This window comes from Homo sapiens, chromosome 13 (assembly GCF_000001405.40).
Source record: "Homo sapiens chromosome 13, GRCh38.p14 Primary Assembly".
In the NCBI taxonomy this organism is placed as follows: domain Eukaryota; kingdom Metazoa; phylum Chordata; class Mammalia; order Primates; family Hominidae; genus Homo; species Homo sapiens.
The window spans coordinates 40,164,372-40,179,839 of record NC_000013.11 but is presented as its reverse complement, the minus strand read 5'-3'; the positions used below and the strand labels follow the sequence as shown (position 1 = coordinate 40,179,839).

At 44.0% G+C, this 15,468-nt stretch overlaps 1 protein-coding gene across 1 annotated transcript in view, besides 2 other annotated features; it reads left to right on the top strand.

Annotated features, from left to right (window-relative positions):
* The window catches only part of LOC124903162 (uncharacterized), a 138,590-nt gene that overhangs the window by 37,854 nt on the left and 85,268 nt on the right, over positions 1–15,468 (top strand). The gene's annotated exons all lie outside the window — the stretch shown is intronic.
* Positions 6,880–7,408: an enhancer, noted in NCBI's record as "H3K4me1 hESC enhancer chr13:40746569-40747097 (GRCh37/hg19 assembly coordinates)". NCBI's record gives its function as "activates a minimal SCP1, AML or CMV promoter by ChIP-STARR-seq in naive H9 embryonic stem cells {active_cell/tissue: H9 hESC(naive)}" and the evidence as "EXISTENCE:reporter gene assay evidence [ECO:0000049][PMID:30033119]".
* Positions 7,409–7,937: an enhancer, noted in NCBI's record as "H3K4me1 hESC enhancer chr13:40746040-40746568 (GRCh37/hg19 assembly coordinates)". NCBI's record gives its function as "activates a minimal SCP1, AML or CMV promoter by ChIP-STARR-seq in naive H9 embryonic stem cells {active_cell/tissue: H9 hESC(naive)}" and the evidence as "EXISTENCE:reporter gene assay evidence [ECO:0000049][PMID:30033119]".

The window sequence follows — 15,468 nt, the reverse complement described above, 5'->3', positions numbered from 1 at the left end:
TTCAAGTCTTCTTTCGAAAGTTTGGCTCTCTTTATCCCCATGATCATAATTATAATAATTTTGAAACATCAGTCTGCTCAGATATCAAGGTGTTGAACGGATAATTTCACTTTAATGAATTTGTCTCATATGGGCTTATTTTCCACATCTGTCCTAAGCTGAATAGCTAACTGGTTAATATGAGAACTGTTCCGTCTCATTAGCTTCTCCCTGTTGATTTCCTTGAGGTGGAACTGATGCATTGCCAGTTGCAAGCTCTGTCAGCTCTTTCCTTTTAGGCAAAGCACACATCTAAATTCTATTCTAAGGCACTGATGCCAACTAAGAAGAATAAAAAATGAAATAGTTTGATCATCCAGATAAACTGCAGGATTCTATATACCCAGTGGCTTCTGAGAGATTAGCAAGTACTTGTTACAAACGTCATAAACCCTTGTACCTGAGGCCGTGGTGGGTAAATTGTACAAGTAAGGCCACAAAGCCCTGGCAGGGATGGGTGTGGGCTGAGGAGTAGAGAGTGAGAAAGAGGTTTGACTGGTGAACTCCAGAAGGGAGAGGACAGAGAAAAAGAAGGAAACAGAGTGGCAGTGGACCCAGGAGGCCTTGGTGAAGGTCTTGAGTTGGAGTATAAAATCTCCAACCTTTCAGCACTTTGAGAGGCCGAGGCAGATGGATCACCTGAGGTCAGGAGTTCAAGACCAGCCTGGCTAACGTGGTGAAACCCTGTCTCTACTAAAAATACAAAAAATTAGCCGGGCATGGTGGCAGGCGCCTGTAATCCCAGCTACTCAGGAGGCTGATGCAGAAGAATTGCTTGAATGTGGGAGGCAGAGGTTGCAGTGAGCCGAGATCACACCGTTGCACTCCAGCCTGGGCAACAAGAGCAAAACTCTGTCTAAAAACTCTGTCTTGATTGTTCCAGTAGCTAGGAGGGTATTTTGGGAAGGAGTTTAAGGTGAATGAAACTGTTAGTGGATTACTTAGCCTCCTGGAGAGAGAGGGGTGGTGCCTCCTTCATGGGGCCCTAAGTTCAGCTAAGATGGATAAATAATCAGTTAGGATGCTCTGTCTCTAAGTGAGATGATGACAAACAAGAAAGAGGTGGATCACCTCTCACAGCAAGAACCAGAGTGCACTTAAGGACTAGATCATTCCATGACTCTGTTCACAAGGACCCAGGTTCTTTCTGTCGTTCTGCTCTGATGTCCTTGGCAGTGTTTTCATTCTCAAGCTTGTTCTCCTCTAGGCCGTATGATGACTCCCAGAAAAGGTCAGGGCTGCACGCTTCCTTGCTCACTTTCCTAGGGCAGGGGAAGGGGAGACCCTCTCTGCATTCATGGGAGAAAAATTCTTCATTTAGAGTCTGATTGGGCCAATTTGACCAAGAGACAGAGAAAGAATGAAGCACATACGAGGCCTTGTGCCAGAATCCTTGTGCATCTTCCTTCCTGTCAAGTAGCAATGTGTATGACATGCTGTAGGGTGTGCCTGTGTGGCTCTCCCTGCACCCACCAAGTTGTTCCAGCTATGAAGTAAACAAAAGCGACACCGCAGCCAGCAGGAAACGAGCCGCCAGGCCATTCCAGAGACACTTGAAACTCCTGATGAGGCATAAAGAGTTAAGCAAGTTTGAGGGCTTCCTTGTGAGGGGAAATGGAAGACAGTGAAAAGGATGGAACATACTAGTTTAGTGGTAAGGAGGCCACTTACTGAGTTTAATGCCAGTCCAACTTAAAACTAGAGCAGCTTCTCAACCTCAGTACTGTGCTACTCATGGACGTTTCTCCATCGTGGAAGGCTGTCCATGATGGAGAAACACGTTGAAGGATGTGTAGCAGCATCCTTGGTCTCTACCCACTAGATGCCAGTAGTATCCCTCCTCCCCCAGTGTGACAACCAAAAACATCTCCAGAACATTGCCAATGTGCCCTGGTGACATTTTTGTGCCCTCATTGAGAACCACTGCCTTAGAGTGAGGCAGGAACTCAAGTGGTCAGGAATTATGGGTTTGGTTAGATGCTTCTCTCTAAAATGTTGAGGGACTGACAAAGGTGGCCAACAACATGTACAGATTGCCTTACAGCTGCAGAACTAACTTTGTGCCCATGTGTGAGGAAACTTCCAAAGGAGGTTTTAGGATCAAGAAACCATCGGATTAAAGCACTGACCAGGGCCAGTTTATGCAAAAAGGAGTATAGGGATTGATTGAGAACTGCATGGAATATAACTAAATATCTAAGCATGAACAGAAACCTGTATTGCATGTGTATAATGATAATAATGTGGATGACAGGACTACAAGTTGCTATGTACCTGGTAAGTGACAGGAACTGTGGCAAACGCAGATTATACCCAAGTTATAATCCCACAACTGCCCTGCAAGGTGACAGTTGCCCTCTTTTTACAGATGAGGAATCTGAGGGTTAGACAGGCCCTGTGACCTACTCAAGCTTCCGCCACCAGTTGTGGTGGAGACAGGCTAAACCCCAGTTCTGTCTAATTCCAAAGGCTGTGCTGTTTTCTCTACAACATATTATATATTATCAGGATGTGGGGTGTGTGTTCCACATAAACTATTGTGAGAACTTAATTATCATGTAAGACGCAGTGTGTATTATATACACACATATCAAATATGTATATGGGTAGAGATGCTCTTAACATATAAGATCATGTGGTAGCTCACAAAACTTTATTAAATTCATAAAGCAGCTGATATTTACTATTAGAACCCCAAAACCCTCATTTGCTGGGAGTTCAGAGTTCTGAGACCCCTTGAGTTCTTTTGAATCCAAGAGAGGAGGAGACTGGGTTGTAGCAGCCGGCTAGCTGCTGTGGGTGGAAAGGGTTTGCTGCAAGGGCCGGGATCCGGGAAGGAGCCCCCTAAGTAAAGGCTTCTTCTTCTTCTTCTTTTTTTTTTTTTATCATGGAGTCTTGCTCTGTCACCCAGGCTGGAGTGCTGTGGCACGATCTCAGCTCACTGCAACCTCCGCCTCCTGGGTTCAAGTGATGATTCTCCTGCCTCAGCCTCCCAAGTAGATGGGATTATAGACATGTACCACCACGCCCAGCTAATTTTTGTATTTTTAGTAGATACAGGGTTTCACCATGTTGGCCAGGTTGGTCTCCAACTCCTGACCTCGTGATCCACCTGCCTCGGCCTCCCAAATTGCTGGGATTAAAGGTGTGAGCCACCGCACCCGACCTGGCAAAGGCTCTTGAGAACTGAAATGAAGATTCTCTAGAGCAGCTCCTTAAACTTTCATGGCAAAGAAGTCATCTACTATTTAGTTAAGCTGATTCGGATTCAGAATCTAGGGTGGGGACTGGAATTCTGCTTTCCTAATGAGCCCAGAGTGCTACTGCTGGTGCGGGTCACCCTTTAAACAGCAGCAGCAGCGGCGGCGGCGGCTGCAGAGAAGGAAACCTTATTCTTCTGAATGGTTCTCTATAAAGCAAGTCCATTGAGAAAGGAACTGGCCATAAAGAAGCTACCAGACACAAGTGGGCCAAAGTGCTAAGATGACCAGTGGAGAGGCAGGGAGAAAGGACAAATAGGACCTTCCCCATCTAATACACTATCAGATGGAGAGAGAGAGAGAGAGAGAGAGAGAGAGAGACAAGGGGCACAGTGTGGCTTAAAACATTAGAGAACAAGGGTTTTGGAGGAGTTTGTAAAATTACAACTTCATACAGCAGGTAGTAAACTTATGAAACTCATCATTTCTAAATAGATATTAAAAATATAGTTACAAAAGTGCTATAAATAAAATAGTAAATTACATCCTTGCAGTAGGTTACTGAGGGAAGGGAGGCTGTGTTGGAACATCTCCCTAACTTTTGAGGTTGGCACACATGTAAGCTCTGTGCTCATAGTTTCTAAACCAAAAATGCAGATTTATGATTCAGCAAAGGATTCTGTTTTTTTGTTTTCTGTCTCTGTCTCTGGGTGTGAGTGATACTGGAGAATGCAGTATGGATGCTAGGATATTAGCATTTCTAAGAACTTTGGATGGTTTCTGAGAACAAAATGTTAAACATTTGAAGCCAGTGTTGTACTGGGAGTATTGTACTGTTTGTGGACAGTTCTTCAGATGCTACCTTGGGCCAAATTCCCAGGTTATTCTAGTAGTACTGGGTGTGTGGAATGAAGACTGGACATGTTGTTCTGTGCTTTGGAACTAGGTGGTCTGGACCTCAATCCCTCTATGCCAGCTCTCTATTTATTCCACTACATCAGCTCCTCTTCCCTTACTTCCTAAGGTGGCTTTAGGATGTGTCTTTAAATATTCCTTTCATTACATTTCCTAAACTCACTTATTTATTCACAGATATTTGTAAATTACTATGTACCCAACACTGGGCAAATAAAGGTGAACAAAACTCTCTCTCTCCTCTCATGAAGCTTACAATTGAGTGGAAAAAAGATGGGCAGCAAAGTTTGTCCTTACTTCTCTTAATGATAACTTATTTAAAAAGTGTTAGGAAGCATAGCGCACAATTACACACACCTGGGGACAGCCTCAGATTGATGGGTCCCAGCAGGCCTCTAAGGAAATGTATTTCCAGTTGGAACCCTGAGGATGAGGGGGAGCTAGCTGGACAAAGAGTTAAGGAGATAAGAACGCTCTAGGGGTATGGCAAGATGCAAAAGCAGAGAGAGCTTGGAAGCTGGTGTTGGTGGATATCATGATTGGAGTTAAGAGTGCTCTGTTTGCTGAAACTGGAGAGACTGTTCTTAGGGGGCCTTCTATGCTGAGGTCCGTTCTGGTTCCCTCCTCCATGCACTGGAAATCCATCAAAAAGTTTTGAGCAGGAGTCTGCCTTCGTTTGCTGTGGGGCTTGGAATATTCTAACCCCAAACCCAAGACAGAGGCTTGATACTGAGGCTTGAGTTTGGACCCGGCAAGCTCAGCTGCCCAGTGGGCACTAAGATGGGCAGAAAGAGCTTCCTCAGTCACCCACTGGGATAAACTGAATGGGTTCTGTGTCATGTCCAACCTGTAAGGCACAGGTTGACTTAGTGACAGAGAAGAGGGGTGGTACGAACACGGAACACAAGAAAGGAAAGAGCTACTCATCTCCATGATTTATCCTTTGGCATAAAGTAGGCGTAGTGAGTCTCACACAGAACCCTCAGGCAATTGCCATTAATTACGTTTTGTACTAACAGAGTCTTCTTCCAGGAGTAACTAACAGAGTGCTGTGAAGACCTCAAAAACTATTTTATATTCTGCATTCTCTCACCTGCATATAGTATTCCCTCAGGTTTGGGGGATAATTTAGATTATTATCTAAAAGGATTAGCCACTTAATGGTAGCTGGTAGATTAAGCTGGAAAAGCATTTGTTTTCAATGTGTTACCATGATGAATTAGGAAAGTAATTTGCTTTCTCTGTCTCCTTTTTAAAAAATAATCTTATGATGAATGTAATTGTTTAATTTGAAGGAAGTACATTCACATTATTCTCATATACCTTGGTCCCCAAGCTAGAAATCTCTTAGCCCATAGACAGGGGGCTGATTTTTAGCCCATACTACTGCTTATGAATCAGATATCCCTTAGGAATAAAAGGGTATGAGTTTCAAACCAGAAAAGAGAAATCTTTCCTTAGCTTATAGACCCCTAATTAAATTTTCTGGAGATCCACTTGCAGTCTGGAAAAAAGGGGAAAGATGGAGCTTGGAATTCTGAATAGTTTTTAACCAAAGAATTCACTTTTCTTATATCCGTTTAACATAAAAAGTTTTCAGAAAGAAATTCTGATACTGTTGTACTTCCCTCTTCACCTATAAGCCCCCCAAAAATATATCTCAAAGGTGGGATCCTGCAAAAAAAACAAAAAACAAATAGATGAAATTCAGTGTTTGACTCCATGGGAGGGCAAGTATCGGATTAGAGAAACCAAACTGTCAAAGACTCTAAAGTCAGTATAACTGAGAACTTTGTTTAATTCTACCCAAGAGTTATCACTATTTATTTGTTTTCTGAGTGTCTTAAAGCAGTTTGGGAAGAAGTTGGGGCCATCATTTCATTCTAGCTATTTTGATGTGAGATTTTCCCCATCAATCGCCACAGATGAAGAGCTTCTCCAGATATCGTGTGGACTTGGAGATGAGGGAGAAAGTAAATCCTTAGAAGATTTGCATGTCACATGCTTAAGGCACTGGGAGATGGCCTAAGTTTAAGGTTTCTGTCTCCCTGTGAGACCTCAGCTCAAGAGTGAAAACATAAATAAATAGAAGCTCTAGAATTTCCGAAGAGAAGTGCCTGTGATACACAGAAACAATGTTAGAGAATGATCCTCTGCTTCATGATCAGCGATAACAATAATTAAAGGGTTTTGGGACCTCGGTGGTCACCGCTGCACTGTTTAATAGTAATTATTGGGTAATTACATGTTATTATAGCAGAGATATATAATCATATAATTGTTATTATTAAGCATGATGTTGACCATTGCGGTTCCAAACCCATCTTCATTTGCGGGGCCTCTTTGGGGATGGTAATTGAGATAATAAGGGATAAGGTAGAGAAGAGGGAAAGTGACTGGGTGGGGGTGTGTTTGCTTGGCTCAGCTAGAACAAAGGACTGGGAGACAGACCCTGAGGAATCAGTGACATCTGTGCAGGAGCGGTTGGCTGGCTGGCATCTCTGACTGACCCGAGAGATAATTATTCTCAAAGAATTCCTGGCACAGAGTTTTCTGGCTTCATTTCCCTTCACTGACTTTGCAGAGTGTCTGACGGTGGCATTGCACGAGGGCACAGAACAAATGTCCCCACCTCGGTGTCTACTCTGTGAGGTGCCTGCGAACCCAGGGGATGTGGGGGACAGAGAGGTGGGTTACCAAAGACAGCTCAGACCAGGAGGACAGTTTCCGAAGCCTGTCACCCTGTCTTATTTTATTGCTCCTCCAGCAGCCCTCAGAGGGGAGGCAATGTGTTCTAACCCACAGAGCCCGCGAGACTTACGGTCAAACCCAAGTGCCAGCTCTCCCTGTGCTGTGTGGCCTTGGGAGTGGGGTGACTTAATGTCACCTCGTGTGTCAAGTGGGGAGAATAACGTCCACTGTGCGAGGTGGCCGCAAGGATGGAGTCCAGGTGTGCACAGCATCTGCAGCGGCCTGGGCTGGGATGAGTGTGAGTGACAGCCGTGGGCAAAGGTGGTCCTGGACTGTCTCTGCTGTTCCCTCAGGAGAGAACTGAGCCCCAGGGAGAATGGGAAGTTTGACCTGGGTCGCCAGGGTTTCTCAGTGGCAGCCCTGAGATTAAACCCCCGCTCTCCTTACCGGGGGCTGCGCTCCCTACACGGACGGACTATGACCGCCCTCCATCCAGGCTGCCCCCGTGGCAGTGGCCCTCGGGCGGCTCTGAGGTGCAGGGTTGAGCCTGGGCTTTCGGCGGCTTCCTCCGTTTTTCGGAGCGAAGGGCACGCCAAGGCTTGTTTGCCTCTGTCTTGAGTGTCGCCCAGGTCACAAGGAGGAGTTGCTAAGCAGTGAGGGAGCCTCCCGGGCGGCTGCGGGAGAAGGGGCGCGGCCGCGGCAGGAAGAGCCGCGGGGACCGAGGAGGTACAGCACGGGTGTGGCCGAGCCCCTCACCCCGCGCAGCTCCCCCTCTGGAGGGGTGACAAAGTTACAGGAGTCTTCAAAATGGAGGTAACAGTGGAGGCTAAGCGATGAGAACGCATGTCACAAAGAGGAGAGTAACACACACCGGGGCCTACTAGGGGGTGGAGGGTGGGAGGAGGGACAGGATCAGGAAAAAGAATTATTGGGTACTGGGGTTAGTACCCTGGGTTTAGTACCCCAGTGACGAAATAGTCTGCACAACAAACCCCCGTGACATAAGCTTACCTGTATAGCAAACCTGCACACATACCCTGGACCCAAAATAAAAGTTAAAACCACCACAACAAAACAAAATGGGGATAATGCCCCAAATCATTCCATAAATAAGTCAATTACTTATTCACAAGCACATTTTCAAATGCTCAATAGGAAAATGGCCCTCAAATACACACATTTAGAGTAAGAGACACCATTGGGAGCAGGAGAGGATTCATCTCTGTGGTTTCTTCTAAGAACATTCCTCCTGGAGAGAAAACCAGTTAAAATTAATGGAAGAATGCAGGAAAAAAAAAAAAAAAAAAGGATAAGCCAGCCCATGAAATTAAGTCTTTCAAACTAAGCATTGAGTTTCTCTGGTTCCTTCCGTCCTGAGAGCTCGCATTATTTATATCTTCCTTTAATAGGAAAGAAAAGTAAAAGGTATAGCTAGTCTCTCCCAGTGTGGGCAAAGTCACATCTTAAAATAAGGATCTTATGACTTTCATTTACCGAAACTAGTGCTTCTACCTCCAGACTCTAAGATTAACAAGAGTTTTTTTTATTTTTTTGTCTAATATGTATATGAATTTTTCAGTCTCCTCAGAATCAGAACATCAATTTCCTATTTTCTTATTTAAGAGACTATAAGGTTGGTGTGAACAGGAGGTAAATTTAGCACTGAAATGAATAACTGGCCTGGGATCAGGGAAGTTGAAGGGTAGAGTGGTCATTTTGGGTAGATCAGTGCAGCCAGAAGTGATGAGTGCTGGGTATTTTTAAGTAGCGCTTGACATTTGGAACCTTGGGCAAGTCTGGTTGCTGTGGCAGTATTGAGTCAGCCACAGTGAGTCAAGAGAAAGTCACCTTTGGCGCTACCACCATTGCCAGCAAGAGGTCCTTCTTTCTCAGGTGAGTTTCACTTGATTTGTCACTTGCTATAATCCATGGGGGAGCCAGAGGAAGCGGCTCATTTTGTTGGCTGACTGGTGTTTCAGTGACCATGTTGGAGGTGTGGCCATAACAACCTTGGACCAAGAGTTATTATAGGACTAGGTTCTGCTTTTGACCTGTGGTTAGGGAGACAATACACTTTACCTTTTTAAGACACTCTTGAGAGTCAAACTTTAATAGTTACTATGCAAGAAAATATGGAAACAGGGATTACCAAGGGCAAAGTGATCCATACAGTTACCCCACATTGGTCTTGGGTAAGTCGCTTAACCTCTTTGACTCAATTTCATTAATTTTGAAAAAAGAGATTCTGTCCTGTCTATCTCAAAGGTTTTGAGGCTCAAATGAAATAAATGTGGAAGGTGTTTTGAAAACACCTTCAACTTTACAAATTTACAGGTAATTTCCAGATGTCCAGAAGGGAGCTTAGCGGCTTATCTCTCCTTTACAGTGCTGAACCTGCTAATAAGCTCTACGAGTTTCCATTTTTGATTACAGAGAAACTGCTTGATTGCCATTTTCATAATTCTTGTACCCCTTTGGAGCCAATATCATTAGTGGATTTATCTTTTGGTGTAAGGAGGAGATATAACGTCCACCACGCGGTGGTGGAGGTTATACAATATCCTCATTTTCCTCTCCTGGTCAGAGAATGAGGAAGAGGAGTTTTCTTACTAGTGTTTTGAGACTCCTAATCATGGTCACAAGAATTAGCATCAGAAAGCCAAGGAATGGCATCAAGTTTGAGGTTTTTGTGTGGTTTTTAAAATGTTTACAGAATGACTGGCTATCCGAGCTCATCTGTCTCTGCTTATAACTATTTTGGTGGTCTCTAAGTGGCAATAATCAAAATATCACTGGTTTTGTGCCATATAATTTCTTCATAACACAAAGCCTAAATATATTCCTCTAGGCTTCCTTGGAAGACTGTTGCTGTAAGTGTGGGATATGGTGATCTCCCCCACATAGTATTGGGGGGCCCTCTTGCAGTATCCATGGCCCCCCAGAGCCTCATTAATTCACTGCTGCAAATGCTGACCTTGGCTCAGAGATAGAAGCTGAAGATTTAAGGTCAAACAACAAAAAATATTAGGAAAGTTGTTATAATTACATGGTGGGAGCATAGTATGCTGGGAGCCAAATGTTGATTAATGTTAATTTTAGGGTAAACAGAGGGAGAGAAAGACAGGAAAAGCAAGTGGACTCCAAAGCTAAAAATATTCTTGAGTTGAGACTCAGCATCAATGGATGTTCAATCTGATAATTACTCCTGAATGGTGATTACCTGTTCTTACATAATTAACCTTGAGGCTCATCTGGACTGCTGGATCTTCTTTCCTGGAACGTACCAGTCACTGTGATTCACAGACCACTGAACTAAATCTAGAAATGCCTGCACACTCGGTGACTCCACACTGCCGATTCAGAACAAGTGTCTTCTCTTTCTGGAATATAGGAGAGATATTGTTCACTGGAGACTAAACCTGTTGGGAAGGTAATAAAGGCAGCAAAGTTGCAGATACTTGCCTTGATGAGGGCGATGTGATTTAGAAAGGAGACACAGAGGAACTTAACAGCTTCACTTAATTAAGGCCACTTGAAGAGCCTTCCCATTCTAGAGTCCTCTCAGTCTCACTTGGGAAAGCCTGGACAAGAAAATGTAAATCAGCCCTTCAGCATTCTGGAATTGATTAGTACAAGTTGTATCCAAAATAAAGAGAAAGTGAGAGACCCAGGGAGGCAAAAGAAGGATCTTTAAGTCTGTGAATGTGAACTGAAATGAAATGTAATACTTTAAACTAGAACTGGGTTGAAATGAAAAGGAAGTGAAGGGTGGGGAGGGGGAGAGAATATTGTGCTCTTTTCTCTTTTAGAGACCTTCTGAGACTTGGCAGGACTACAGTCAATCATAGCTAATTGATTTAATTCTTTTTCTAGAGCAGATATTGTTGGTTGCTTAGCAGTGGCTATCCTCCCTTTCATCCTTGGAACAGAACCCTGGCTTTACTTGGAGAATCCACCCTCCTCCACACTGCTGTGTGGCTGGTCATTCCATGTCCTTTCCAGGCACTGGTTTAGGCAAGAGCCTGTGGTGCAATTTTGCCCAGTGACATGAGAAGGAATGTTTGCTGGGGCATAGGGGCACCTGGGAAAGCATTTTCCTTATAAGAAGAGATTGCCAGGAGGAAGAGGGAGGCAGCTTCAGCCTCTTTTCCTGGATGTAAGTGTTTGTATGTGGGGCAGGAGGCTAGTATCTTGCTTCCATGAAATGAGCTACCTTCAATACAAGCCAAACTGTTGAGTAGAGGGGGGCAGAGCTGAAAGACAGGAGCTTTGCTCACCTAGGAGATCTAGAAGCCCATGGATTAAGTAACCTTGGAGCTGTCCTTCCTTGGAACTTCTGACTAGATGAATAAGTCCTTTGTTGCTTGTAGCAGTTGAGTCAGGGTTCTGTTACCATTGGCTGAAAACATCCGAACTGATATAGTATGTTCTTAGGCAAGTTGTATCAATTTCTTTGTCTATATGAGGAGCCTCACATCCTTAGGAGGGAGTCTTCTGAACCCTCCAGTGGACAATGCACAAGGTTAGTAATAACAGCTATAGTAATGAGGTTGGGCATGGTGGTTCATGCCTGCAATCCCAGCACTTTGGGAAGCTGAGGTGGGAGGATTGCTTAATGCCAGGAGTTCAAGCTTACAGTGAGCTACGATCATGCCAATGCACTCCAGCCTGGATGACAGAGCAAGACCCCATCTCTAAATTTAAAAAACAACTATGGTAATAATTTGCACTTATTTAGGTTACATACTTTCTGAAATACTTTTACATTGATCCTTCATAACAGCTCTGGGAGGCAGGCGAGAGGAATATTATTAGTCTTATTTTCAAGATCAGAAAACTAACACAAAGAGGCAAAATGAGTTATCTGACATGTCTAATGACATGTTGATGGCAGAGCTAGGGTAAAACCTAAGTCTGGGAAAGAGAAATGTTTTGACAGTGAAAAAAAGTAAATGTAGGAAAAGATTTAAAAGCGTGGACTTTGGAGGCTGCCAGAACCGGGTTTAAACTCCTACCCTACCTCTTGTTAACACTGGGGTCTTAACACAAGTTATTTAAGTCTGTCAGAACTTCCTCACCTGAAAAACAATAACGATAAAACCCATATCACCAGGACATTTTAAGAAATACAAGAAAAAAAAAGTACTTCAAGTACTGAATTCAGTGCTTGGCATAAAATAGACTTCCCTCTCCTGAGTACTACTCACCTCTTATGAAAGAAATTGTGGTGACCCTGTCCTTGAAGCTTTTAAAAGATGAAATGGGCAACCATGAGTCCCAACCAAGGCAAAGAACTAGTTGGAACTAATTATTTCTAGAAATCCTTCAAAATGCATGAGAAGAAAAAATAAAACAGAGGATTAACACTGAAAGTATTTCTGGCCAGTTGATGAAAGCGAGTGATAGAAAACAGGATGCTGCATAATGGACACAGGGCTGGGTAATTTATATGGGAATGAAAATAAGGCCATAAAAACAGGCCAGGAAGGAGCTGGCAATGTACAAGTATGGAAGAAAAGGAGCTTGGGGTCGTCGTGGTACGCAAGCTAAATGTGAGTCAGTTGTATTTTGCTCTTATTAAGAAAAAGGCTGTCGTGGCTTTGGAACTCATGAACGCACACCCAACATGCAGGAACACAAACTTATCCACCCACCCTGTCCAGCCTCTGTCAGGCCTCTCTTAGAGCTCTGCATTCTCTGTGGCCCAGGCTCTTAAGTGAGATGAAGTGACCAAGAAGGGGTTTGAAAAAAATCCAGGGAAGGCAAATGGAAATGATTAAAGGGCTATAAAGCAGGATAGAAGAAACTGCAACGATTTCTCTTGTGGAAATAAGGGCAGGCAGGGAACCCACGAATTTCCATGCATGAAGGGGTGCAGAGGTCAAGAACGGCCTTCCACTCTTCTGTAGCCTCTGCACCTGAAATTTTTTTGAGTGCTGACTTGATGCTCAAAGGAATGCTCACTGGAACATTAGGATTTCAGATTTTCAGGTTTGGGATGCTCAGTCTATGGTGACTGTTAGTACTTACACAGTGCTTAGGATGTAGGAATAAGTCCATTAATATTAGCTATGATTATTGAGTAGGTAGAGAGTACCAACTTACTCATTTCAGGAGATGCTTTTCAAATCCCTTTGTCTTGGACTCCCAGCTTTGGTGGTGGTGTTCGCTCACTGTACTGCCCCACCCAAACTTTCCTTCCATGTTAACTTCTACTTCCTCCCACCTGAAGAGGGAGAAGGGGTAGTTGTTGTGGTCATGTGGCCTCGACTCTGCCCTGTTCACAAGGTGGAAGGTGTATACTTCCTGACCCTGAGTTGGGCTGCTCATATTCTGTCTCTCCTCCCCTTACTCTTTCTTTGAGGTATTTCAACTAAGAGACACAAGAGACCAGGACTCAACTGGTGGTGGTGTTTAAAGTTGGGAGGTCATATAGATGTGGTGGTGGAGGCCTCCTTGTTAGGACTGGCCATGTAGACCAAGCTGGTTTCCAGAGAGGAGACAGTGAAACAGAGGGGAGTGTTCCCTGCCTGGCAAGCTCCCCATTCTCCTGAGGCCTGGCTGTCCTTCTTCCAAATTCTCCATAAGAAACCCCTTTGTGATTTGAGCTGCTCTGAGCTGCTTAGTTCCTTGAAACCAAGTGACCTCTATCCTGGATACTGGCCCACAGTCTCTTCTATCAAACCTGAGAAGCCAGTCAGTAAATGTCGATGACGATGACAATGATGATGACAAGAAGGACGGGAGGGGGACAAGATGAAAAATCTGTTTTAGAGTCTATGTGCTTCTTAGATACTGCTGTGTTCTTCTGAAACCATCTAAGAGGGTGAGGGGTTTTTGTTTGTTTGTTTCGTTTTGTTTTCATCACTGCCCTGCCCTAGCTGTGGGTCAAAACAAGATGCACACCTGGTGAGTTCCTTGTTTTCTTGGATAACAGGAGAACTTCAGCTCCAGCTCCTACTAACTTCTCTCAGTCTACCCCTTACTCCTTTGTCCTTTTCTTCTTTCTTTAATGTCTTTGACCCAGACCCTTGGCTACCTAGCATCCATCATTCAGCTGAACCCTGGGTCCTTCAGGCTAACATTTCTTTAGTTTACAGTTCTACCAATTAGCATCATTAAATTACCATTTATGTTTCCTTAAAAAGTGGAGATTGCATCTTTTTTTGGAGATTTGGTTCTAAAGTCAGTATGTGAGGCAAAGAGTGAAAGCCTCTTATCTTATCCTAAAGTAGACAGCAGTATATGTGGTTTGTGTACATAAGCCTGTGCAGTAATACTTGAGTATACAAGATTAATAACACATGCAGTAATGTGGATTGTCTGATAAAGACTTTTATACAAAATAAATTTCCTACTTCCTCTCTCCCTTCACCTCTCTTTTTGCTGAGTGCACATAGTTTAATGCACAGGACAAGCCCTGTGCTATACTGAAATACCCTGTCTTTTCTGACATCGGGGGCTCCCAGTGTGGGAGAGGGCATGTGTCATCTCTGGTTTGTTGAGGAAGTTCCTATGGTGCTCCTGTCTCTGTGCACACTTTCCTTGCAGATGCTTCTGCAGCCCTGCAGGCAAAATACCCAACTGAGACCTAATCAGGAAACCAAAAGGAAAAATGAGGAGGTGGGAAAGATACTAAACAGACAATTAGCCACCCGAGACAAGTACTATTGGCTTCCGTGGCATAGACAGATTGTGAAAAGTTGGGGGAAGGGAAACCGAGTGGAAGGGCAATGTGGGGCTCTCCATCCATGGATCATTTTGCCTGCTGCCTCTGCTTTAAGGGTCAGATGTTAAACGGAGACAGCTGGAGCCTCTGGTTTTCACCAGGTGTGGCTAAGTTTCATATTGGAAACTGGCAATTCCTCTGAAAACTTAGATCACCCTTCAGATACTGGTAATGCCACCCCCAGGAATAAAAATGATCTTGTGCCCCCAGAGAGCAGGCTATCTGTATGTTCCTCACAGTGATTCACGCCTGTAATTCCAGCACTTTGGGAGACCAAGGTGGGCGGATCACCAGAGGCCAGGAGTTCGAGACCAGCCAGGCCAACATGGCAAAACCTCGTCTCTACTAAAAATACAAAAATTAGCCAGGTGTGGTGTCCTGTGCCTGTAATCTCAGCTACTCTGGAGGCTGAGGCAGGAGAATTGCTTGAATCCTGGAGGCAGAGGTTGCAGTGAGTCGAGATTGCACCAGTACACTCCAGCCTGGGTGACAGAGCAAAACTCCATCTCAAAAAAATAATAAAATAAGTTTTGAATTCGGCATGACTGACTTTTAAATAAAAATCACCTATCATGGTTTACCATATGTCTGATGAAATCCTGTAAAAATGAAATGCAGATCTCTGCCATTCACTCTTGAGCAAATACATATGCTGTCACATCTCAGAGCTATTTATTTCTCCTTATTTTAAGTGTGCCCGGTGCCATCCATCCAGATGCACATCAAACGCACAAGTAAAAATGAAACAGAATTTCTCAGTCATTTGAACATTTAGAATTTATTTGTAACATGGAACAGATATTAATTATGTTTTGGAAAATAAGAAAGGAAAAAGCCCACGAGTATATGGGCCAAATGTAGATCTCCTAGGAGCTGGAACCTAGATTCAGGGGT